The sequence below is a fragment of the Homo sapiens genome, chromosome 19 (assembly GCF_000001405.40).
Source record: "Homo sapiens chromosome 19, GRCh38.p14 Primary Assembly".
NCBI classification, from domain to species: Eukaryota; Metazoa; Chordata; class Mammalia; order Primates; family Hominidae; genus Homo; species Homo sapiens.
In genome coordinates this window covers 12,416,802-12,441,175 of record NC_000019.10, presented here as the reverse complement: position 1 = coordinate 12,441,175, position 24,374 = coordinate 12,416,802, and the positions used below count along the sequence as shown (strand labels likewise).

The 24,374-nt window shown below is 42.5% G+C and overlaps 1 protein-coding gene across 1 annotated transcript, besides 1 other annotated feature; it reads left to right on the top strand.

The window, feature by feature from the left end:
* ZNF443 (zinc finger protein 443) lies at positions 155-11,470 on the top strand. Its single transcript, NM_005815.5, has 4 exons — positions 155-264; positions 7,979-8,105; positions 8,739-8,799; positions 9,196-11,470. Exons 1-4 carry the CDS (start codon positions 262-264, stop codon positions 11,018-11,020), a joined length of 2,016 nt encoding a protein of 671 aa, NP_005806.3. The 5' UTR covers positions 155-261; the 3' UTR covers positions 11,021-11,470.
* Positions 387-476: a silencer, noted in NCBI's record as "silent region_10150". NCBI's record gives its function as "represses an Ori minimal core promoter by ATAC-STARR-seq in GM12878 lymphoblastoid cells {active_cell/tissue: GM12878}" and the evidence as "EXISTENCE:reporter gene assay evidence [ECO:0000049][PMID:35858748]".
* Positions 11,471-24,374: the final 12,904 nt, after the last annotated feature.

The window sequence follows — 24,374 nt, the reverse complement described above, 5'->3', positions numbered from 1 at the left end:
TCAGCCCTCAGGGGGCGGGACCTGACGCCCTATCCAATCAGGGGCGTGGGGCGGGTTCGTGGGAACTGTCAATCAGGCACTGCCCAGAGAAGTGTGTGTGGTTGAAAAAGCCCGCGGCGTCTGCTCCACCCACCTGCGCTCGGCTCTGGGTTCTGTAGCTGAGAGACGACCTGGAAGTTCTGAGGCAGCCTTTGTCTGGCTGGAACACGCATTGGCAGCGGGAGCTGTCGGTAGGACCTGGGACACCGCGGAAGTCGGGAAATGGTGCGTGTGCTGGGCCGGCGTCCCGAGGCGGGGGAGGGGTTAGGTGGAACCGGCCGTAATCGGCTGTGGCTGGACCCGGGCCTCCCCAAGGGCGACTTCGGGATCTACGGACCCGGGTCCCCCTGGCGTAGGTCGGCCCTCGGCCGCAGGGTGGGGCTGGGCATGCAGCCGGGACCCCGGGCGTCCTGTCCCGTTCCTGCGCGGCGACTGCGGCCCCGGCGCCCTCTCTGGGCAGCTCCGAGCCCGCAGCCCCGGGTCTCCCCAGATTGTGCGGCTGTAACCAACACAGGTTCGCGGCCCGACTCACTGCACCGAGACGCCGAGGGCTGCAGCAGAAACGGTTTAACAGGAGGAGAGGGGAGGACACCCCAGATCCGCCTCCCTGAGGGATTTGGGGTCTGGACGGGGGCGGCTGGGTGTAGCGTCCTTGGTTGGTGGGGAAGTGAGGGGTGAATCCTGGGACAGGAGGTGAAGAAACCGCATTCTGCTGAGAGGGCTCCCTCGTGGGGTCTTCAACCTGGTTGGCGCCAGCCTTTCTGCTGGGATTCAGGATCTGAGAACTCCGGCGACTCTTGAGCAGCACTCGGAGATCTTATCCCCAGGCACAATGGGGAAGCCGGCGGTCAGCGTCTGCTGTGACCTGACTCTCAGGGAGGCGGCCCCTTGAGGCAGCGGGGCTGAGGGCACCTGTTTAATATCTAACTGCAATCTCGCCTCCAGCCTGGCTCGCAGTTCCTGTGAACCCGGTGAGGAGGCTGCACGGTGACGACGAGTCACCAGGTGGAATCCAGACTCGTGTGTGGGGTTTGTGTGTGGGAGGAGCTGTGGTTTCCGTGGTCCTCAGTCCTTTCTTCCTTTCCAAGGGCGACCGTTTCCCCTCTGAGTCTTCCAAAGACGTGGGCAGCAGGGTCTCAAATCCACCACTGTGTTCTCTCATCCTGACTCTTCCTAGGGCTGGCAGCAAATCTCTTGGTTTCCAGAGACTTCCCCAGGCTAACCTTCTGTCCTTAATTCACAGCAACAGTATGAACTGTTTGGCCCCAGGCGATATTTCACTAGTTTGTCATCTTGTTTTCAGCTAGCAATGTATGGCTTTTTCTTGAAAGAATTGTTTTGGGTTCCTGAACACGGTGGGTCATTCCTGTAATTCCAGCACCTTGGGAGGCTAAGGCAGAGGTATTGCTTGATCCCAGTAGTTCCAGACCAGCCTGGGCAACATGGCAAGACTTTGTCTCTAGTGTAAATGATAATAATAAAATTAGCTGGGCTTGGTAGCTGGCACCTGTAGTCGCAGCTACTCCTGAGGCTGAGGTGGGATGATGGCTGGAGCCCAGGAGTTTGAAGTTGCAGTGAGCTATGATCGTGCCTCTGCATCCCAGCCTAGGCAACAGAGGCCGACCCTGTCTCAAAAAAAATGGATGTCCACAGCTGCCAAGTCTCTTGGAGGGTCTAGTGAATATCATCCCCTGGGTCACTCCTCCCAGGGGACAGCCTGAGATGGAAGGTGTGGCCCCCTGGGGAGCAACTGGATCCACTGGGATGGGAGGAATCTTCTGGTATATAATTCCTGTAAAAAGCTAACTCCTGGGACACTCACCTTTTCTTCCCAACCCTAGTTTCCATTCCTTGGAGACACATGACTGAACAGCCAATTTCATGGTCATATTCCATAGGAAAAAAAACGGAAATGATTTTTGCCTTCTGGACTCTCTCAGACTTAAAAGGTAGAAAGTTATATCTAAGGACTGGAGAACCTGCCCTTTGAGGTAGTGCAAGATCCTGAAAAGCACACAAGGCAGTGTCTCCTAGGAGGGTGGTGAGTGTCTCCTAGGAGGGTGGCGAACAGAATAGGGTTAAGGGATGTCCCAGGTGATAGGATGACCTGCACTGATTGTTGCATTAGACTTTTCTGTGTTCCAGTCAGCACTGCTGATTCCTGAGTTTGTTAGCTTGAAAAGATATGTTTACTCTTTTCAGCCTAAATTTTTGATTAACCGTGAAATACATCCTATGATTAGAGATTGTTATTTTATACTTTGAAGACAAAGTATACCCAAAGTTGGAAAGAGTCGGACTTCAGAAAATAAATTTTATAAGTAATACTAGAAAGAGTTGGACTTCAGAATATAAATGGTATATGTAATCTTCTATTCCATTTTTTAAAAGCCTTTATTTATTTTTTTTGCCCCAGAGCTTGTGTAGTACGTTTCTCAGGTGTGTTTGTTTTTCGGATGATTTCAGATGGAATTTCAGGACTTAGTAGTATAACTACTACCAAGGGAAAAACCCTCTTCCATTATGGCTGCAAAAAAGGAATACATTTTTACAAGAAAGTGTAATAGGTACATTGAATTAAAAAGATTTAACAAAAGTTCAGTTCTTCTCCTTTTTAAAAGGGTGGAGATTTTGGGACAATGGAGAAATCTGTTCTGTTCCTGTTATATCTGACAGATGAATGCTAAATTCTGTGGGACAGGACTTTCCAACAGCTAAAGAAGTAAAATATAATTATTTTTTACTATATCACTTACTATCATGGAAATAGTAATTAAATGACATTCATTGTCTGGAAGGGATAGGTATTTGGGCTTTTCCTGTTGAGCTATAAAATGTCAGTGCCTTACAATTTCCTTCCCACCCGTAGACATAGACACTGAATTTGAGTGATTTTCCTGGATTCATCAAACATGAGTATTTTGTTTTTAAATATCCATGTAAAGCATAGAAGGGTAAGAGAGTAGCTTTGACTATGGCAGAGAGGCCTGAGGCCAATGCCCCCACCTCCAGCTAAGACCAATTTTTTTTTTTTTTTTTTGAGACAGCATCTCTGTTGTCCAGGCTGGAGTGCAGTGGCACGATCTCAGCTCACTGCAACCTCCGCCTCCTGCGTTCAAGCGATTCTCTTGCCTCAGCCTCCTGAGTAGCTGGGACTACGGGTGCGTGCTACCATGCCTGGCTAATTTTTTTTTTTTTTGTATTTTTAATAGAGACGGGGTTTCACCATATTGGCCAGGCTGGTCTTGAACTCCTGACCTCGGGCAATCCACCAGCTTTGGCCTCCTAAAGTGCTGGGATTACAGGCATGAGCATCATGCCCATCCCCATATGGCTTTTGATTAGGGCTAGAATGGAGTATATTTTTTCATACCTTTATATTTAATGTACCTGTGTCTTTCTACTTAAAATAGTTTTCTTGAGAGAATAAAAAAAATAGTTTTCTTGCACACATTGGTAGGTCTTGTTTTTTTTATTCTACTCTGTCAGTCCTTGTCTTCTTTTATTGGTATATTCATATAATACACATTTAAAGTGGTTATTGATATACTTGGATTCATGTGTACATATATAATTGTTTTATATTTGTTATACTTGTCGGTTTTTTTCAACTTCCTTTCTTTTTCTGTCTCCTTTTATTTTAACTGAGGTGTCTATATGATTGTGTTTTCTTCTAATAGTATAGTAAGTCTACTTGTTTCTTTGTTTCTTTGTTTCTTTTTTTTTTTTGAGACAGGTTCTTGCTCTATCACCTAGGCTAGAGTGCAGTGGAGCAATCATAGTTAACTATAACCTCCAACTCCTGGGCTCAGGAGATCCTCCCTACTTGCTTTCCTGAGTAGCTGGGACTACAGGTGCAGGCCACCACACCTGGCTAATTTTTTTTTTATTTATTTAATTTTTTACACGTTTCGTAGAGACAGTCTCATTGTGTTGCTGAGTGTGGGCTCAAAGTCTTGATCTTAAGCAATCCTCCTGTCTTGCATCTCAAAGTGTTGGCATTACAGGGCTGAGCCACTGTGACAGGCTGTTGTTTCTTAACATTTTATTATTGAATTCCCTAGCATTTGGAGTAAACCATTCACAACAAATGGACCTTCAGTTTTAAGTAACACTGTACTGGCTTTTAGGGTAATGCTCATATAACCCAGTGTTCAGCATTCCTCCCTCCTGCCCAATTTAACATCACCGTCATCCATTTGCCCTATTATAAACTATAACCACCCAATACATTGTTATTATTTTTTGAACAAACCTTTATGATATCCAATAGGAATAAGAAAAGGAAATAATTTTTGTGCCTTCATTGAATTATTTTCTAATGCTCTTCATATATATGCATATGTGTATATTTGTGTGTGTGTGTGTGTGTGTGTGTGTGTGTGTATGATCTGAATTTCTAACCTGTAACATTTTTCTTCTCTCTGATGAACTTCTTTTAACATTATTGGCAAGACAAGTACACCAATCACATGTTCTCTCAATTTCATTCCTTTTTTTCCCCATTAGATTAATTTCAATTCATTTATCATCATTTTAACTGATTTTTTTTTTGGCTGCTCACATCTGTTGAACACTTGTGAAGATGTCTTCATTTTAGTTGTACCTTGCAGCTGCATAAATTCTATATGGCTAAATTTCTACCCCTTTTTTTTTGAGACAGAGGTTCGCTCTTGTTGCCCAGGCTGAAGTGCAGTGGCACGATCTCGGCTCACTGCAACCTCCACATCCTGGGTTCAAGCGATTCTTCTGCCTCAGCCTCCCAAGTAGCTGGGATTACAGGCGTGCACCACCATGCCCAGCTAATTTTGTATGTTTAGTAGAGATAGGGTTTCACCACATTGGCCAGGCTGGTCTCAAACTCCTGGCCTCAGGTGATCCACACACCTTGGCCTCCCAAAGTGCTGGGATTATAGGTGTGAGCCACCACGCCCAGTTAATTTCTACTTTTTAATAGATATTATTTTATCTCTGTATCTATATTCTGGTTTTCTTTTAGTTATTTGTTCATCATTGCCTTTACTTCATTGAACATATTTAAGATAGTTGTTTTAACGTTTTTATTCAGTGAGTGGTGTCTGAGGTTTCTCAGAGATGGCTTATCTCAATTATATTTTTTCCAATTGATGAACCATATTTTCATGTTTTTCTGTATTCTTCATAATTTTGTGTTGAAAAGTAGATATCGGAATGTTATAATGGGGTACTTCTGAAAATTGGATTCTTCTTCTTTCCTCACTGTTTTCTATTTATGTGTGTTGAAGACTGTAATTGTTCATTTGTTTAATAACATTTTCAAAGTATGTTTGCACAGACTGTATTCCTTATTTGTTGTAGAAACTGACATCTCTGTTCTTTAGTGTGTGTTCATCCAGTGTTCTGGCAGAGATTTCCTGAATGCTAGAAGCTAGTAAAAAAGATGAAGCATACAAAAGCCTGACCTCTTCCAGTCTTTGTGGATGGCTCTGTGCCTGGGGCATCCCTTGAACACTTAGCCAGGCTGTTTAATACTCTACTTATGCTTTATGTTCTGCTTACTTAAAGCTACAGATCAGCCAGAAGCGAAAATGAATGTTTTTCTCCGGTGTCTTTTGTGAAAATGTGTTCTTTACTGTGCATGCATGGGGCTTTCTCAATTCCCTAGGATACCTGGGTGCTTTTGAGTACCCTGATATCTGGAGGACATTTTCTCTTCAGCTCTTTTTCTCCGTGACTTAGTTGGTCTACTGTATGTCTTAATCATAGTCTGTTCTTGCAGTTGTCTACAGGCTTTTTGTGTATTTTGCAACATTTTCATGCAGTTCCTGCCAAATTGGACCCTGATCGTGTTATATTGTAGATAAAGTAGAAGAGAGGGCCTTGGCTGGGCACTGTGGCTCACACCTGTAATCCTAGCACTTTGGGAGGCTAAGGCAGGCGGATCATTTGAGGTCAGGAGTTTGAGACCAGCCTGGCCAACAGGGTGAAACCCCGTCTCTAGTAAAAATACAAATTAGCCAAATGTGTTTGAGCATTCCTGTACTCTCAGCTACTTGCGAGGCTGAGGCAGGAGAATTGCTTGAATCTGGAGTCAGAGGTTGTAGTGAGCCAAGGTTGTGCGTCTGCACTCCAGTCTGGGTGATGTGTCTGCACTCCAGTCTCGGTGACAGAGCAAGGCTCTGTCTCAAAAAAAAAAAAAAAAAAAAAGCAGCCTTGTTTCAGACCTTTGGATAGTGCTTATACAGATTGGAAAATGCAAGGCAATAATTTGCAAATAAGGTCTGATCTGCTGTCTCTAGAGTTAGTGTTCAGGGTTCTATACTGGGAACTCGGGCTGCTGTGTTCAAGAGTGTCATTGATGGGGGAGAGATTGGGCCAAGGACAAATAAAAACTCTACGAGACTTTTCTACCAGTTTTCATTTTTCTTCATATATATATATGTATATGTATATATTTGTCTCTGTGTTAATAGTATGGGGAGCCAAATATTATAGTTTCAAAATTCTTTGTTTTTGGAAAGCTGCACTTTCTTGGTGAGAAAGTTTCCAGCATTTTTTAGATACTGTGAGTTCTATTAGACTTGGTAATGTAATTTTTGTTGACTACTAAAAGGTCCGTTTTAGTTATTTAGGAAGTATTATAAATATTCATGAGAGATGACATTGAGTTCTTTCTAAGAATATATGCAGTCTTTCCCCTTCTTTCCTTCTCCTTTTGGCATTACTCAAGAAAATGTTTAAAATTTTTCCATTGAGATGGTGAAATATCTTTTATCAGTCTCTTGTGATACTTCACTACATTTGATCTAAAGGAAACTAGTTGCCAGCTTCCAAATATTCTCTGTAAGTATAATCACATAGGATGGGCTAAATCCCCCAAATAACAAGTTGCAACAAAACATGTGAAATATTATCTACCCAGAAAGCTCATTATAGACCCAATGCCCAGAGTGTTTCTTTGTAGCTGTCTTAGCCTGTTTCTTGTAATTCATAACAGAATTACTGAACCTCGGTAATTTATAAGAAACAGTATTTAATTTTTACATTTCTGGAGGCCGGGAAGTCCAGGGTTAAGGCTGGGAATCTGATGAGAAACCTTCTTGCTGATGGGGACTCTGCAGAGTCTCTAGGTGGCATAGAGTATCACATGGTGAGGGAGCTGAGTGTCTAGCTCAGATCTCTTTCTTTTCTCAGAAGGACATGAGATAGCTCATTTATTCATTCACCCATTATGGATTAATCTATTCATGAGGTCCAGACCCTCAGAACTAAATCACCTCTTAAAGCCCCCACTTTTTTTTTCTTTTTTTTTTTTTTTCTGCCACTTTGGAGATTAACATTCAGTGTGCATTTTGGAGGGGACAACCATTCAAACCTAGCAGTGGCTGATCAGTGCACTCTGTCTGCTGAGTATGTAACAAAATTCCAGACTCTCAGAAGGAAGATGGGAGTTAACGAAATACTATATTTTTTTTGCATGAACAATTTAGGCACACTCCACCCCTGTTATTATGCTCCTGGGGCCCTCCCCTAAATACACTGTCTAGACACCATGAAAAGCCCAACTTTGTGAAAAAGCATTTGTAAGGACACGCAGTCTCAGCACTGCTAATGGTAACTCCCTTTTGCACAATAAGTAGTAGGACTTTATCGTGCCAAGGACTGCAGACCCACTGTGGAAATCGACATTAGGGGTGATCCAGGCTATGTGATTCACTCACTTAGTTCGCCAACAAGTGGCATGTTTCTATCCCACTGTTAATTTACCAAACGTTTAACTGTAGCTTCAGAGTTACTGTGTAGGAGAAAGTGAGTGTAGACAGAGAATAAGAGTGGGTTTACCATGTCATTGAATAAAATGGTTGGAAACCACAGCATCATGTGAAATTTATGAAGTGAGTATAGATTCTCAGTACTGTGATTTTCACCCTTCCTCCTCTGTACATGTGGGATGGATCAGGCCTCAGTGGCTTTAGAGGATGTGGCTGTGAACTTCACCCGAGAAGAGTGGGCTTTGCTGGGTCCTTGTCAGAAGAATCTCTACAAAGATGTGATGCAGGAAACCATCAGGAACCTGGATTGTGTAGGTAAGGATGACATCGCATTTCCACTTATTTAATTGGAGACATTTGTTTCTTGGTCATTCATGCTGTTCAAAGATTTGGAATATGGAAAGGGGATATGGTTGGCCCTGGAAAAAAAAAAACAGGGTTTAGGGGTGCCAGCTCCTGTAGCAGTTGTACATCCTCATATAACTTTTTGTCCACATCTTAGCCTACTATTGATGGGCAGCATTATCAGTCACATAAGCAGTGATTAATACATATATTTTATGTCGTATTATTACATCGTATATTCTCACAGTAAAGTAAGCTAGAAACAGAAAGTGTTAAAAAGATAATCATAAGGAAGAGAAACTATATTTACTGTTCATTAAGTGGAAGTGCATCCTCGGAAAGGTTTTCATCCTCATTGTCTTCACATTGAGTAGGCTGAGTAAGAGGAGGGGCTGGTCTTAGTGTCTTGGGTAGCAGAGACTGAAGAACATTCATATATATATGTATATACAAATGGACTTGTGCAGTTCAAACCTCTGTTTTTCAAGAGTCAGGTGTACTTCAGTGAATGCATTTTGAACGATTGCAGTGTACATCAAAATGTTACTGTTTGTCTATAATTTTGTAAAAATTTGTAATGATTTTTCTGTGTATACCTTTTAGTAATGAAATGGAAAGACCAGAACATTGAAGATCAATATAGATATCCCAGGAAAAATCTAAGGTAATTTACACTCACAAGAGAAAGATATGTCCCTGGAGCCGTTCTGAGAATGACATGAAAATTTAAAAAGAAGCAAAGAAAATGAACAAGGCTAGCTTAAATTTATTTATTCTTAGAAAATTTTCTCCAAAATATATACTTAAATGTTCCATAGCTGTTCAGTGTTCATAAATTAGTTCCCATGACAACAATATTATGAATCCACATATGAATGTGATTGTCTTGAGAACACCTGGGTCGAGTTACCTTGCACAGCATTCCATCCATTCACATTCAAGCAGGACACGAAGCCTGCACTTCGCATGATAGTGTTAAAAATGTACATCCAATACTTATTAATACCTATACAATTATTTATAGACCGACTTTTAGTGATATATTTCCCATTTTTTACAGATGTCGTATGTTAGAGAGATTTGTTGAAAGTAAAGATGGAACTCAATGTGGAGAAACATCTAGCCAGATTCAAGATAGTATTGTGACCAAGAACACTCTTCCTGGAGTAGGTCCTTGTGAAAGCAGTATGAGAGGAGAAAAAGTCATGGGTCATTCATCCCTTAATTGTTACATCAGAGTTGGTGCTGGGCACAAACCACATGAGTATCATGAATGTGGAGAGAAGCCAGATACGCATAAACAACGTGGGAAAGCCTTCAGTTACCACAACTCATTTCAAACACATGAGAGGCTTCACACTGGAAAGAAACCATATGATTGTAAAGAATGTGGGAAGTCCTTCAGTTCTTTGGGAAACCTTCAAAGACACATGGCAGTGCAGCGTGGAGATGGACCTTATAAATGTAAGTTGTGTGGGAAAGCGTTTTTTTGGCCCAGTTTATTACATATGCATGAAAGAACGCACACTGGAGAGAAACCATATGAATGTAAGCAGTGTTCTAAAGCCTTTTCTTTTTACAGTTCCTATCTAAGACATGAAAGAACACATACTGGGGAGAAACCGTATGAATGTAAACAGTGTTCTAAAGCCTTTCCTTTTTACAGTTCCTATCTAAGACATGAAAGAACACATACTGGGGAGAAACCATATAAATGTAAGCAGTGTTCTAAAGCCTTCCCTGATTCCAGTTCTTGTCTAATACATGAAAGAACTCACACTGGAGAGAAACCCTATACATGTAAACAATGTGGGAAAGCCTTCAGTGTTTCCGGTTCCCTTCAAAGACATGAAACCACTCACAGTGCAGAGAAACCCTATGCATGTCAGCAATGTGGGAAAGCGTTTCATCATCTGGGAAGCTTTCAAAGACACATGATAAGGCACACTGGAAATGGACCTCATAAATGTAAGATATGTGGGAAAGGCTTTGATTGTCCTAGTTCACTGCAAAGTCATGAAAGAACTCACACTGGAGAGAAACCCTATGAATGCAAGCAGTGTGGGAAAGCATTATCTCATCGCTCAAGCTTTCGAAGTCATATGATAATGCACACTGGAGATGGACCTCATAAATGCAAGGTATGTGGGAAAGCCTTTGTTTATCCCAGTGTATTTCAAAGACATGAAAGGACTCACACTGCAGAGAAACCCTATAAATGTAAACAATGTGGCAAAGCCTACCGTATTTCCAGTTCCCTTCGAAGGCATGAAACAACTCATACTGGAGAGAAACCCTATAAATGCAAACTTGGGAAAGCCTGTATTGATTTCTGTTCCTTTCAAAATCACAAAACAACTCACACTGGAGAGAAGCCATATGAGTGTAAGGAATGTGGGAAAGCATTCAGTCGTTTCAGATACCTTTCTCGACATAAAAGGACTCACACAGGAGAGAAACCTTATGAGTGTAAAACATGTAGGAAAGCCTTCGGTCATTATGATAACTTAAAGGTACATGAAAGAATTCACTCTGGAGAGAAGCCGTATGAATGTAAGGAATGTGGGAAAGCATTCTCTTGGCTCACTTGCTTTCTACGACATGAAAGAATTCACATGAGAGAGAAATCCTATGAATGTCCACAATGTGGTAAAGCCTTCACTCATTCCCGTTTTCTTCAAGGACATGAAAAAACTCATACTGGAGAGAACCCGTATGAATGTAAGGAATGTGGGAAAGCATTTGCTTCTCTCAGTTCCTTGCATAGACATAAAAAGACTCACTGGAAAAAAACTCACACTGGAGAGAACCCATATGAATGTAAGGAATGTGGGAAAGCATTTGCTTCTCTCAGTTCCTTGCATAGACATAAAAAGACTCACTAGCATTCTCTCTAAATGTATGGAATGTGGGAAAGCATTTATTAATTTTATTTCATTTCAGATACTTGTACGAAACACATTGGAGATAGACCCTGTGAATGTAAGCACTTGGTAAAGCCTTAAGTAGTTTCAGTTTCTTTCCAGTACAGTCATCCCTTGATACCTGCTGGGTATTGGTTCCAGCACTCCGTGAGCCATGTCCAGTCCCTTTTATAAAATGACATGTTTGTATGTAACTTACCCACATCCTCTTGTATAGTCTCAATTATGTCTAGATTACTTAAAATACCTCATGCATTATAAAAGCTATGCAAATAGTTGTTCTATTGTATTGTTTAGGGAATCATGATAAGGAAAAGAGTCTATGTATTTTCAGTATAGATGCAGTAATTGTGAGCCTATCAACATAGTGTAGTCAGCCAGAACATTAAAGTTTCTTTGTTTCAACTCTCACCTATTTCTTCTGTTTAATGTGTTAACACTTACCAAAACCCTGGGTCTTCTCTCTTGATAACCCAAGTATAGTGATTATAACAATGATGATGATTCTGTGGTGCCCAGTGTTTTGATGTGTTGAGATGACTAGATGTATGGCATTGTGGGTAAGTAGTGAGACATCAGGTTAACTTGAATCTTGACAGGCCATCAGGACTATCATCTATGTTGGAAGAACCAACTTGTGATTATAGATGTGGACTCATTTGAGGAGGCTATGTAATACTAATGTTAGGATCTGTTTGGCTTGAGGGCTGAAGATCTGTAACCATTGAATGTTCCATCTTCTTTGCAGATGCTTAGTTATAGGAAGCTAGTTCTTCTTTTCCTTTGCTTCATTAAAAAAAAAATCTTGTGGTGCTTATAGGCATGTTGTTTCTCAGGTGGATTGAAAGCTTTGTTCCACTGTAGGATCTTTGAGGATCGTACCTCTTTTTCACCTTTGCCTACTGAAAAAACCATTGAATGTTCCGTCTTATTTGCAGATGCTTAGCTATAGGAAGCTAGTTCTTCTTTTCCTTTGCTTCATTAAAAAAAAAAATCTTGTGGTGCTTATAGGCATGTTGTTGTTTCTCAGGTAGATTGAAAGCTTTGTTCCATTATAGGATCTTTGAGGATCGTACCTCTTTTTCACCTTTGCCTACTGAAAAACTGTGGCAAACTTTTCAAGTGTCCAAATCAATGGCTCTGTGTCTTCTAAGTTTTCTAGCTCATCATCATCTGTAGTGGATTTCAGCAGACTTTGAAGTTCCTAGCTGGTAAGGGTTTCTCTTTGCTTTTCGGTGTGTTCCTTAACGTCATCCTCAGTCATTTCAGACAGCGTTCCCCACCAACTTTTTTTGCAACATTTCACATATTCTTAATAACTGCATTAATAGTAGGGAAGTCCTTGAAATCATTGACTCCCTTACCCCATGATGGCTTGTAACATGTATTGGCTGTCCTGGGCTTTAGGGCATCTGTAGCCTTCCCAATAAGCACAATTGTATTTGTAATTGTGAAGCTCTTCAATAAAACCACTGTGGTACATTCAAGGTTAGCATCAAGACTCCATGAATTCACCCAAGGATGTAAGTCACTTGAATGCACTTGATGCCTTGATCTAGTGACGCAGCAGTGATGTAGTTTTAGGAGGCAGAAATATCACTTGCATGTTCTTTTAGGCAAAACAGAGATTGGAGAGATGGCCTGGAGTGTTGTCAATTCTGAGGAAGACCTTGAGTGGCAGTCCCTTCTCTTTGAGGTATTCCATCACATCAGGAGTGAAGCATTGCTAGAAGAAAGCCTTCTTATGTTCTTGCCAGGACACAGGCCAGCAAGTTTTGCTTTTGTCCTAAAGAACCTGGTGATTGCTCAGTAGACGAAGCCTCGCTTGTTCTCATGAACTAATGCATGGCCTGACAGCACCAGAAAAAGGTGGTCTTTCCAGGCCTTGAACCCCAGTACCTGCACTCATGTATGAAGGTACCATTGGGCATCTTCTAGAACATGCCTGATTCATGACAATAGAAGATTTACTCTGGAAGGTAGTGTCTTTTTTCTGTTTTATGAGCTCTTCTAGGAATGCTGTTGTTTCCCTGGCATCAGCCGATGCCAATTCTCCTGTGGTCTTCAAGTTCTTGGGCTGCACTGTGTTGCATAGTTAGCCTAGCCAGAACTTACTGGCTTCAAACTCCTTCCTCTTGCTCTCCTCAGCCCCCTCACAGTGATGCTTACAGAGGCTAAGTGTTTTTTGTTTTCTTTTCTTTCTTTCCTTCTTTTTTTTTTTTCTTTTTTTTGAGACGGAGTGTTGCTCTGTCGCCCAGGCTGGAGTACAGTGGCGTGATCTTGGCTCACTGCAACCCCCACCTCCCGGGTTCAAGTGATTCTCCTGCCTCAGCCTTCTGAGTAGCTGGGATTACATGTGCGCGCCACCACACCCAGCTGTCTTTTGAGTAGAGACTGGGTTTCACCATGTTGGTCAGGCTGATCTCGAACTCCTGACCTTGTGATCCACCCGCCTTGGCCTCCCAAAGTGCTGGGATTACAGGAGTGAGCCACTGCGCTTGGCCTGGCTAAGTGTTTTTTCAAGTATGATGTTACCATCAGTAGGGCTGTGGTTCTGTGACGTGTCCTCTAGCCACACACTTAATGCTTATCCTTAGTTTATCATGAACTAGAGGGATCATTTTTGCCACTGTAGGGGCAGCTCTAACACTTTGAGGAACTTCAGCTTCTCTCTGCTTTAGTGTGTGATTTCTTGGTTTGTTCTTACCTTATGACGAACTTTCCAAGGTGATACACCACTTTTCAAAACATCTTAGGTTTGTATTTTCTTATTGAGAGATACCACTTTTTGTCCCCTGCTAGCCTTTTAGGGATAGGTTTGACCACTTGATTCCTTCTTAGGAGCCATTTTTTAACATTTTTTATTTTTTTATATATGACATCTCAAGGGTCTCTGAATGAACAAAACAGTCTTCAAAAGCCAGAACAATGGCCAGATGTGGTGGCTCACATCTGTAATCCCACCGCTTTGGGAGGCTGAGGCAGGTGGATCATGAGGTCAGGAGTTGGAGACTAGCCTGACCAACATGGTGAAATCGCATCTCTACTAAAAATACAAAAATTAGTCGGGCATGGTGGCGCGTACCTGTAATCCCAGCTACTCAGGAGGCTGAGGCAGGGGAATCACTTGAGCCTGAGAGGTGGAGGTTGCAGTGAGCTGAGATCATGCCACTGCACTCCAGCCTGGGCAACAGGGCGAGACTCTGTCTCAAAAAAAAAAAAAAAAAAAGCCAGAACAAAGTTGGTGAACTCACACTTCCTGATTTCAAAACTTATTACAAATCCATACTAATAAAAACTGTTTGGTACTAGCGTAATAACGCAGAAATAGACAATGCAACAAGATAACACAGAAAGTCTAATAAAGTCTAATAATTTACATAAAGTCTAACAATTACTGAAAAGTCTGCTGTGACTATTCAATGGGGGATAGCTTAATGTTTCTGTAGAATGATGCTGTTGGGCAATGCACATCCACATGCAACAGGATGACGTTGTACCCATACCTAACATGTACAGAAGTTAAAATGAACGAAATATGTGAGTGTCCATCTTAGCTGTATAACTGTTAGATGAAAATACATGGCAAAAGCTGTATTACAGTGAATTTGGCAATGATTTCCTAGATTTGGCACCAAAAGCATGACCCACAAGGGAAAGAATAATTTGGATTTTGTGGACCTTTGGCATCAAAAGGCAATATTAACAGAGTAAATGGGTAACCCATAGAATGGGAGAAACCATTTCCAAATTATATATCTGATAAGGGATTAACATGAAGAGTATTTAGAAAATGATAAAAAGCTACTAATCACTTGTTATGGAATAAATGTTTGTAGAAAATTTTATTTATTTTTCCACTTCCCTGATGTGGCAGTATTAGGCAATGGTTTCTTTGAGATATGATAAGGATTAGGTTAGATTATGAGAGTGGATCCTCAAAAATGAAAGTGGAATGTGCATGGTCGCTCATGCCTGTTATGGCAGTACTTTGAATGGCCAAGATGGGAGGATCGCTTGAGGCTTGGATTTTCCCCCTTCCCCTTCCTCTTCCTTTTCCCCTTCCCCTTCTCCTTCCCCTTTCCCTTCCCTTCTCTTCTCTTCTTCCTCCCCTCCCCTCCTCTCCTTTCCCTTCCTTCCTGGAAATGGGGATCTCAATTTGTTGCCCAGGCTGGAGTGCAGTGGCGTGATTATAGCTCATTGCCACCTCCGACTCCTAAGCTCAACAGATCCTCCTGCCTCAGGCCTCCCAAGTAGCTGGGACTTCAGGTGTGTGCCACCATGCCCAACCGAGGCCTGGAGTTCAAGACCAGTCTGGGCAACATGGTGAGACCTCATCCTTACAAAAAAAGAAAAAAGGAAAATTTAGCTAGGCTTGGTGGTATATGCCTGTAGTCATAGCTACCAGGGAGGCTGAGGTCACCAGATCACTTGAGCCCAGGAGTTCAAGGCTGCAGTAAGCTAGGTCATGCTACTGCACTCCAGCCTGGGCTGGAGAGAGAGTGAGACCCTGTTTCTGAAACAAACTAAAATATATGTAAAAAGAGAATTGAGGTTAATGTTATTACACAATGGAGAAAAGTTGATTTCTTCTTATAAAGTGGCAGAGAACTTTGTGTATCGTGGTCCTGTGCTAGTTTTGTGGAAAGTAGAACTAGGAAGTGATGAAATTGGATATTGAGTTGACAACATTTCTAAGAAGTGTTGAAAAAGGCAGCTTGGTTCCTCTTGACTGCATATACTAATGTGAGGAAAGACTTGACTGGAGATGGAATTATTAAGATGGAACTGAAACAAAAAGATTTGGAAAATTCCCAGTCTATCCATATTACCAAGATGAAAAATCATCTTGGGAAGAGAAAACTCTAAGGGTGTGTCCAAGGACCATTTGATAGGAATAGTAGTTTAGAGGACTTACTCAGCCACCCCAGTAGTAAGACAGCCAGTTTGGTTTTTGTTTGTTTGGTTTTTGTTTTGTTTTCCTTTGTTTTTGAGATGGAATCTCATTGTCTCACCCAGGCTGGAGTACAATGGCATGATCTCGTGGCTCACTGCTTTCTCCACCTCCCGGGTTCAAGTGATTCCCCTGCCTCAGCGTCCCGAGTAGCTGGGATTACAGGTGCCCGCCACCACGCCCAGCTAATTTTTGTATGTTTAGTAGAGATGGGATCTTACCATGTTTGTCAGGCTGGTCTCGAACTCCTGACTTCAGGTGATCTGCCTGCTTCGACCTCCCAAACTGCTGGGATTACAGGCATGAGCCACCGCACCTGGCCTGTTTTTCTTTTTTTACGGATTCAGTGATCTGGACGGGCACATACTACCATGCCATTTTAATTTTTTTGTAGAGATGGAGTCTTGCCGTGTTGCTCAAGCTGGTCTTGAACTTCTGGACTCAAGCAATTCTCCCGCCTCGGCGTCACAAAGTGTCGCAATTACAGGCATGAGCCACTGCACCCAGCTGGACCTTTATTTTTTTGAGACGGAATCTCACTCTGTCGCCGAGGCTGGAGTGCAGTGACACGATCTTGGCTCACTGCATCCTCCGCCTCCTGGGTTCAAGTGATTCTTCTGCCTCAGCCTCCTAAGTAGCTGGGACTACAGGTATGCGCCACCACACCTAGCTAATTTTTGTGTTTATAGTAGAGATGGGGTTTTACCATGTTGGCCAGGCTGATCTTGAAATCCTGACCTCAGGTGATCCACCCACCTCAGCCTATCAAAATGCTCAGGTTACAGGCGTGAGCCACCACACCCGGCTGTACCTTTCTCAATGAGCCAATATGCTGATTGCAAACACATTTATTATGACTAAATAAAGTATTTTCCATTCATTTGGAAAGATATTATTTGCTCAATATAAGATTCTTTGTTGATATCCTTGTTCTTTTAGTTCTTTAAGGATGTTACTCCATTGTCTTCCTGTTTGCATTGTTTCTGATAATAAGTATGTAATCAATGTTACATTTGGTTGTCTGTTGTTAAGGTGTCTATTTTCTCTGGTTTCTTTAAAGAATTTTTTATTATACCTGGTTTTCAGCAATTTGATGCTGTGTCTTGGTGTAGATTTGTTGATATATATTGTGCCTGTGGTTTGTTGAGCATTTTGCATCTGTAGGTTCATAATTTTTATCTGTTTTGGAAAATATGCGACAAATGTTTGTTTGTTTTGAGACAGGGTCTCACTCTGTTACCCAGGCTGGAGTGCTGTGGCATGAATATGGCTCAGTGCAGCCTCGTCCTCCAAGGCTCAAGTGATCCTTCCACCTCAGCCTCCTGAGTAGATGGGACCACTGGTGTGAGCTTCCATGCCTGGCTAATTTTTTTTTTTTTTTTGCGACGGAGTCTCACTCTGTTGCCCAGGCTGGAGTGCAGTGGCGGGATCTCGGCTCAATGCAAGCTCTGCCTCCCGGGTTCCCGCCATTCTCCTGCCTCAGCCTCCTGAGTAGCTGGGACTACAGGGGCCTGCCACCAAGCCCAGCTAATTTTTTTGTATTTTTAGTAGAGACAGGGTTTCACCGTGTTAGCCAGGATGGTCTCGATCTCCTGACCTCGTGATACGCCCGCCTCGGCCTCCCAAAGTGCTGGGATTACAGGTGTGAGCCACCGCACCCGGCAATCTGGCTAATTTTTAATTTTTTTTGTAGAGATGGGGTCTCACCATGTTGCCCAGGCTGGTCTCAAACTCCTGTGTAAAACATATTGTTACTGCTAGTTTTGTTATTGTTGTTTTGTTTTGTTTTGTTTTGTTTTTGTTTGAGATGGAGTCTTGCTCTGTTGCCAGGCTGGAGTGCAGTGGCGCAATCTTGTCTCACTGAAACCTCCGCCTCCCAGGTTCAAATGATTCTTCTGCCTCAGCCTCCTGAGTAGCTGGGTCTACAGGCGCGTGCCACCATGCCCAGCTAATTTTTGTATTTTTAGTAGAGACAGGGTTTCACCATGTTGGCCAGGATGGTCTCAATCTCTTGACCTCATGATCTGCCTGTCTCGGCCTTTTAAAGTGCTGGGATTACAGCAAATATTTTCCAAATTAGATGAAAACTATAAACCTAGAGATCCAAAAAGCTCAATAAACCCCTGAGCCATTGTGCTCGGCCTGAAATATTTATGGAAATATTTTTTGTTTGTTCTGTTTTTACTCCTGTCTTTCAAGGAGTCCTTGTACAATTGTCCCATTACACAGCTCACTGAGGTTCTGTTCATTTTTTTGTCTGAGTGCTATATTTTAAATCGGTTATACTCCTAGTTTTTGAGGTTCACTTATCTTTATTTCAGCAATATCTCCTCTGCTGTTTTGTCCATTCAGTGCATTATTATTATTATTATTATCATTATTATTATTTTTTAAGAGACAGGGTCTTACTAGTTGCCCCTGTTGGGCTTGAATTCCTGAGTTCAAGCGATCCTTCCACCTCAGGCTCTGAGTAGCTGGGACTAGAGGCATGTGCCACCACACCAACCTCCATCCAGTGCTTCTAGATATTGTTGTGTTCATATATAGTAGCTTGAATTGTGTCTTTTCTTTTGTTCATAAATTGTCTTGAAGTAACATGTACTAACATAAAATTTCCACTTTAATCATTTTTAAGTGTGTCATTCAGGAGCATTAAATACATTTACAATGTGTTATAGCCATTACAGCTAATTATCTCTAGATTTTCATCGCTCCACACAGAAACTCAGTACCCATTAAAAAACAACTTCCCTTCTCTACACTCAATCCCTGATGACGTCTAGTCTACTCTCTTGCTCTGTGAATTTGACTAAGTGGAGCATCTAGGGCTGGGCGTGGTGGCTCACGCCTGTAATCCCAGCACTTTGGGAGGCTGAGGCAGGTGGATCACAAGGTCAGGAGTTCGAGACCGGCATGGCCAATATGGTGAAACCCCGTCTCTACTGAAAATACAAAACTTAACTGGGTGTGGTGGTGCACGCCTGTAGTCCCAGCTACTCAGGAGGCTGAGGCAGAAGAATCGCTTGAACCATGGAGGCAGAGGTTGCAGTGAGCTGAGATCGCACCACTGCACTCCAGCCTGGGTGACAGTGAGACTCTGTCTCAAAAAAACGAATCAAAAAAATAAATAAGTGGAGCATACAATATTTGTCCTTCTGTGTCTGGCTTATTTCACTTAGCATGTTTTCAGGTTCCCTCCATGTGGTAGCATATGTCAGTAATTCATTGCTTTTTTATGCCTGAATAATATTCTTTTGTTGTTGTTGTTTTCCGAAGACACAGTTTCACTCTGTCACTCAGGCTGGAGAGGAGTGGTGCAATCTCGGCTCACTCAACCTCTGCTTCCCAGGTTCAAGTGGTTCTCATGTCTCAGACTCCCGAGTAGCTGGGATTATAGGCGTCCACCACCATGCCCAGCTAATATTTGTATTTTTAAGTAGAGATGGGGTTTAATATTGGCCAGGCTGGTCTCGAACTCTCAACCTTGAATGATCCAGCTGCCTCAGCCTCCCAATGTGCTGGGATTACAGGCGTGAGCCGCTGTGCCTGACCTATTTTTATTTTTTTATAGACAAGGTCTCAGTCTGTTGCCCAGGCTGCAGTGCACTGGCATGATCAGCCCCTTGCAGCCTTGAAACTCTGGGATCATGTGATGCTCCTGCCTCTGTCTCCTGAGTAACTAGGTCTACTGAGACATATCTCCACATTCAGCTAATTTTTTTTTTTTTTTTTACAGAGACAGGGTCTTGCTATGTTGCCCAGACTGGTCTCGAACCCCTGGACTGAAGTTATCCTCCCACCTTGGCCTCCCAAATGGCTGGGAGTACAGGCCTGAGCCACCACACCTGGAAATACCTTATCTTTTGGTCAAAAGTGATGGCATTTTTTTTAACCTGTTGATGACATGCTCCAAATATACTAGTTAGTTTTTTTTTTTTTTTTTTTTTGATGGAGTCTTACTGTGTCGCCCAGGCTGAAGTGCAGTGGCATGATCTCAGCTCACTGCATCCTCCTACCTCCCGGGTTCAAGCGATTCTCCTGCCTCAGCCTCCCAAGTACCTGGGATTACAGGTGCCCACCACCATGCCTGGCTAACTTTTTCGTATTTTTAGTAGAGACAGGGTTTCACCATGTTGGCGAGACTAGTTTTGAACTCCTGACCTCAAGCGATCTGCCTGCCTCGGCCTCCCGAAGTGCTAGGATTACAGGCATGAGCCACCATGCCCGGCCACTGGTTAGTTCTTACATGTAGCTAGTCATAGCATCATATTGTTCACTTCATTCCCAAGAATATTTACTCAATCCAGGAATGTAAAGTTTAGATATACCAATAGCTACAGTGCAACCAAAACCCAAAAACTACAGAAAAGGAGATAATCCATGTCTACTGTTGGTAGTATTTCAGATTTTTATAAGGGCCAGGGCTAATGCTTCTGGCCATTGAAGTCCAGTGTTTTGACAGCTATTTCTCTAAAGTCCTTTTTATGTTTAGATTTTTATATTCTCTTTGCTCTGATGGTTAAGGATGGTATGTATTTTAATAAGTCTTCCGTAGTTTTTGCAAGAATGTGGTTTATATCAGCTATAAAATTACCTCCTTGGTTGTGCTCGCTTCAGCAGCACATATAAAATTACCTCATTGGTTTTGTTCTGTCCACAAAAGAATACTAAAACCAGGAATAATTTCAATGATTAATTATTTACCACTGATGGCATCATCATGTCTAGCTGTATAGCATTGCGCCCATCCACTAAACATGGAGACAATCACTAAACAATGAGAATTGACTACAGTTGTAGATAAACCATCCATTTGGAGGGCTGGGAGGGTCAGTGTGGGTGTTGGAGGATTCTGTGAAATTTGTGAGCTTCATCCAGAAATTGGGTGGGTTACAAGTAATGCACTGAGAAATAAGTGGGTCAGTAATTTTGTAGATGCCAGGCCAGTCAGTTGTCTTTCGTTTTCTTAACTCTTTCCCATCTGCCTCTATGTCCAACTTGGTGAGAGATTTGTGTAAGGGAAAAGATTGAAGGAAAGTATTAATAGCACAGGGAGTGTGACTGGCCTAATGTATAATCTCTACAATACTATTTTTCCCTTTTGTATCTATAGATCTTCTTAGATTATGGGACATTTACTTGATAATATCAGTCACGGGTAAAGGCAGTTTTGCAAACTGGATTGGGAAAGAACAAGGTACCATTTTTGGCTTCCTATTTAGCAATCTTTTGAGCCCTATCATTCCCTAGAGATATAGTATAAATCTCCGTAGTATGGACTAGACAGTGAACAGTGGCCATTTTAATAGGGAGGCAAATCATCTGTAATAGTTCACCAGTTATGGGCCGGGCGTGGTGGCTCACCTCTGTAATCCCAGCACTTTGGGAGGCCGAGGTGGGCGAATCACGAGGTCAGGAGTTCGAGACCAGCCTGGCCCACGTGGTGAAACCCTGTCTCTACTAAAAATACAAAAATAAATTAGCTGATCATAGTGGTGGGCACCTATAATCCCAGCTACTTGGGAGGCTGACGCAGGAGAATCATTTGAACCCGGGAGGCAGAGGTTGCAGTGAGCCAAGATCACACCACTGCACTCCAGCCCCAGCAACACAGTAAGACTCCATCTCAAAAAAAAAAAAAAAAAAAATAGTAGCCCAGTTATGTGTCTATCGGCAGTGGGTATACCAGAACAAGTTGTGAATCCACAAATTTTTCAAATTGTGCCAGTTGCATAAGGAATTCCAAAAGCATATCTGCAGTCTGTGTCAGTAGAGGCAGTTTTCCTGTTTGTCAGCGTGCAAGATGTAGTAAGAGCTATGAGCTCTAGGCTCATACTGATTTTACAGTGAGTGAAGAGTATGCCTCAAGTGTTTCATGTAGAGAAAATATTGCCTAGGCCAGGCATGATGGCTCATGCCTGTAATCCCAACACTTTGGGATATCAAGGTAGGAGAATCACTTGAGGCCAGGAATTTGAGACCAGCCTGGGCAATAGAGTGAGACCTTGTTGTTATAAAAAGTTAAAAAATTAGCTGAGTGTGGTGGTGCATGCCTGTCATCCCAATTACTCGGAAACCTGAAGTGGGAGGATTGCTTGAGTAGGGGGACAGAGGCTGCGTGAGCCAATATCACACCACTGTACTCCAGCCTGGGCGACAGAGTGAGACACTGTCTCAAAAAACAAAGAAAGAAAATATTGCATAACCCATTATTATGTTTTCCTTAACAATTCATTTACAGGAGCTATCCCAAAATAGAAGTAAGTCTATGTTGTCTAAGAGTATGTCAAGGAGATCTTCTGGAGGCTTTAGGACCATTTCTATCCGTGCATGACAATCATGTGGAATGGGGTGGAGCTCTCCATCATCAGGTCAAGGACTATAGTAGCCAGACCTACTGGAAAAATGTCTGATACACAGATCAGTAAGACAGAACTGAGAGTCCAGAAATCATCCCCTTTGCCATGGTTTGAATGCTTATTTCCCCTGCAAAATTCATAGGTTAGAATTTAATCCCCAGTGAAACAGTTTTGGGAGGCAGGCCTTTGGCCTTTTGGCAAAGCCCTCATGAATAAACTAATGCCACTACAAGGGCTTGATGGATGGGGTTTGCCCTCTCTTGCCCTTCTGTCTTCTGCCCTGTGAGGATGCAAGCATTTCTTCCCTCCAGAAGATCCAAGAGGAAGGCCCTCACCCGATGCTAGTACCTTTATCTTGGAATTCCCAGTATCTAGGACTGTGAAAAATAAATTTCTGTTCTTTTTTTTTTTTGAGACGGAGTTTTGCTCTTGTTGTCCAGGCCGGAGTGTAATGGCGTGATGTTGGCTCACTGCATACTCCACCTCCTGGGTTCAAGTGATTCTCCTGCCTCAGCCTTCTGAGTAGCTGGGATTACAGGTATGCGCCACCATGACCGGCTAATTTTGTATTTTTAATAGAGACGGGGTTTCTCAATGTTGGTCAGGCTGGTCTCGAACTCCTGACCTCAGGTGATCCACCTACCTCAGCCTCCCAAAGTGCTGGGATTACAGGCATGAGTCACTGCACCTGGCCAATTTCTGTTCCTTATAAGTTACCCCATCTATAGTATTTCATTATATCAGCAGAAACAGATAAAGATACCCTTCATTGACCGTTAATAGATTTTCAGCAAATAGGCCAAGATACATGAATGGGGAAAGTCTTTTCAACAGGGTGCTAGGAAAATTGGATATTTATCGGGGGAGCCAGCCCCCAATATTTCAGTGTAGGTTCTTTTCTATTTTCCTTAAGTGTTGGCCAGTCTGAGAAATAAAGAGAAAGAGTACGAAGAGAGGAATTTTACAGCTGGGCCTCCACGGGTGACATCACATATTGGTAGGACCGTGATGACGACCCTGAGCCACAAAACCAGCAAGTTTTTATTAGGGATTTTAAAAGGGGAGGGGATGTGTGAACAGGGAGTAAGTCACAAAGATCACATGCTCCAAAGGGTGATAAAGATCACAAGGCAAAGGCAAAATTAGAATTACTGATGAGGGTCTATGTCCCGCTGTGCACATATTGTCTTGATAAACATCTTAACAGGAAACAGGGTTCAAGAGCAGAGAACCGGTCTGACCAAAATTTACCAGGCTGGAATTTCTCAATCCTAGTAAGCCTGAGGGTACTGTAGGAGACCAGTGTGTATTTCAGTCTTTATCTCAACCACGTAAGACAGACACTCCCAGAGTTGCTGTTTATAGACCACCCCCCAGGAAAGCATTCCTTCCCCAGGGTATTCCTTGCTGGGAAAATAATTCAGTGATATTTCTCCTACTCACACATCCGTTTATAGGCTCCCTGCAAGAAGAAAAATATGGCTCTATTCTGCCCGACCCCACAGGCAGTCAGACCATATGGTTATCTTCCCTTGTTCCTTGAAAATTGCTGTTATTCTGTTCTTTTTTAAGGTGCACTGATTTCATGTTTTATAATCAATTTGTACAATAGTGATCCTGAGGTGATGTACATTCTCAGCTTACGAAGATAACGGGACTAAGAGATTAAAGACAGGCATAAGAAATTATAAAAATATCATTTGGGAACTGATAAATGTCCACGAAATCTTCACAATTTATGTTCAGACATTGCAGTGAAGACAGCCGTAAGAAATTATAAAAGTATTAATTTTGGGAACTGATAAATGTCCATGAAATCTTCATAATTTATGTTCTTCTGTCACGGTTCCAGCCGGTCCCTCCATTTGGTGTCCCTGACTTCCCGCAACAGATATTGACCTGCAGAGAAGAGCAACTGAGACCCTTATAACAGCATGCATTAAAATGAAGTCACACTGAAATGGTGAAAATATAAATATAAGTTTAGTAGCACATTTAGGAA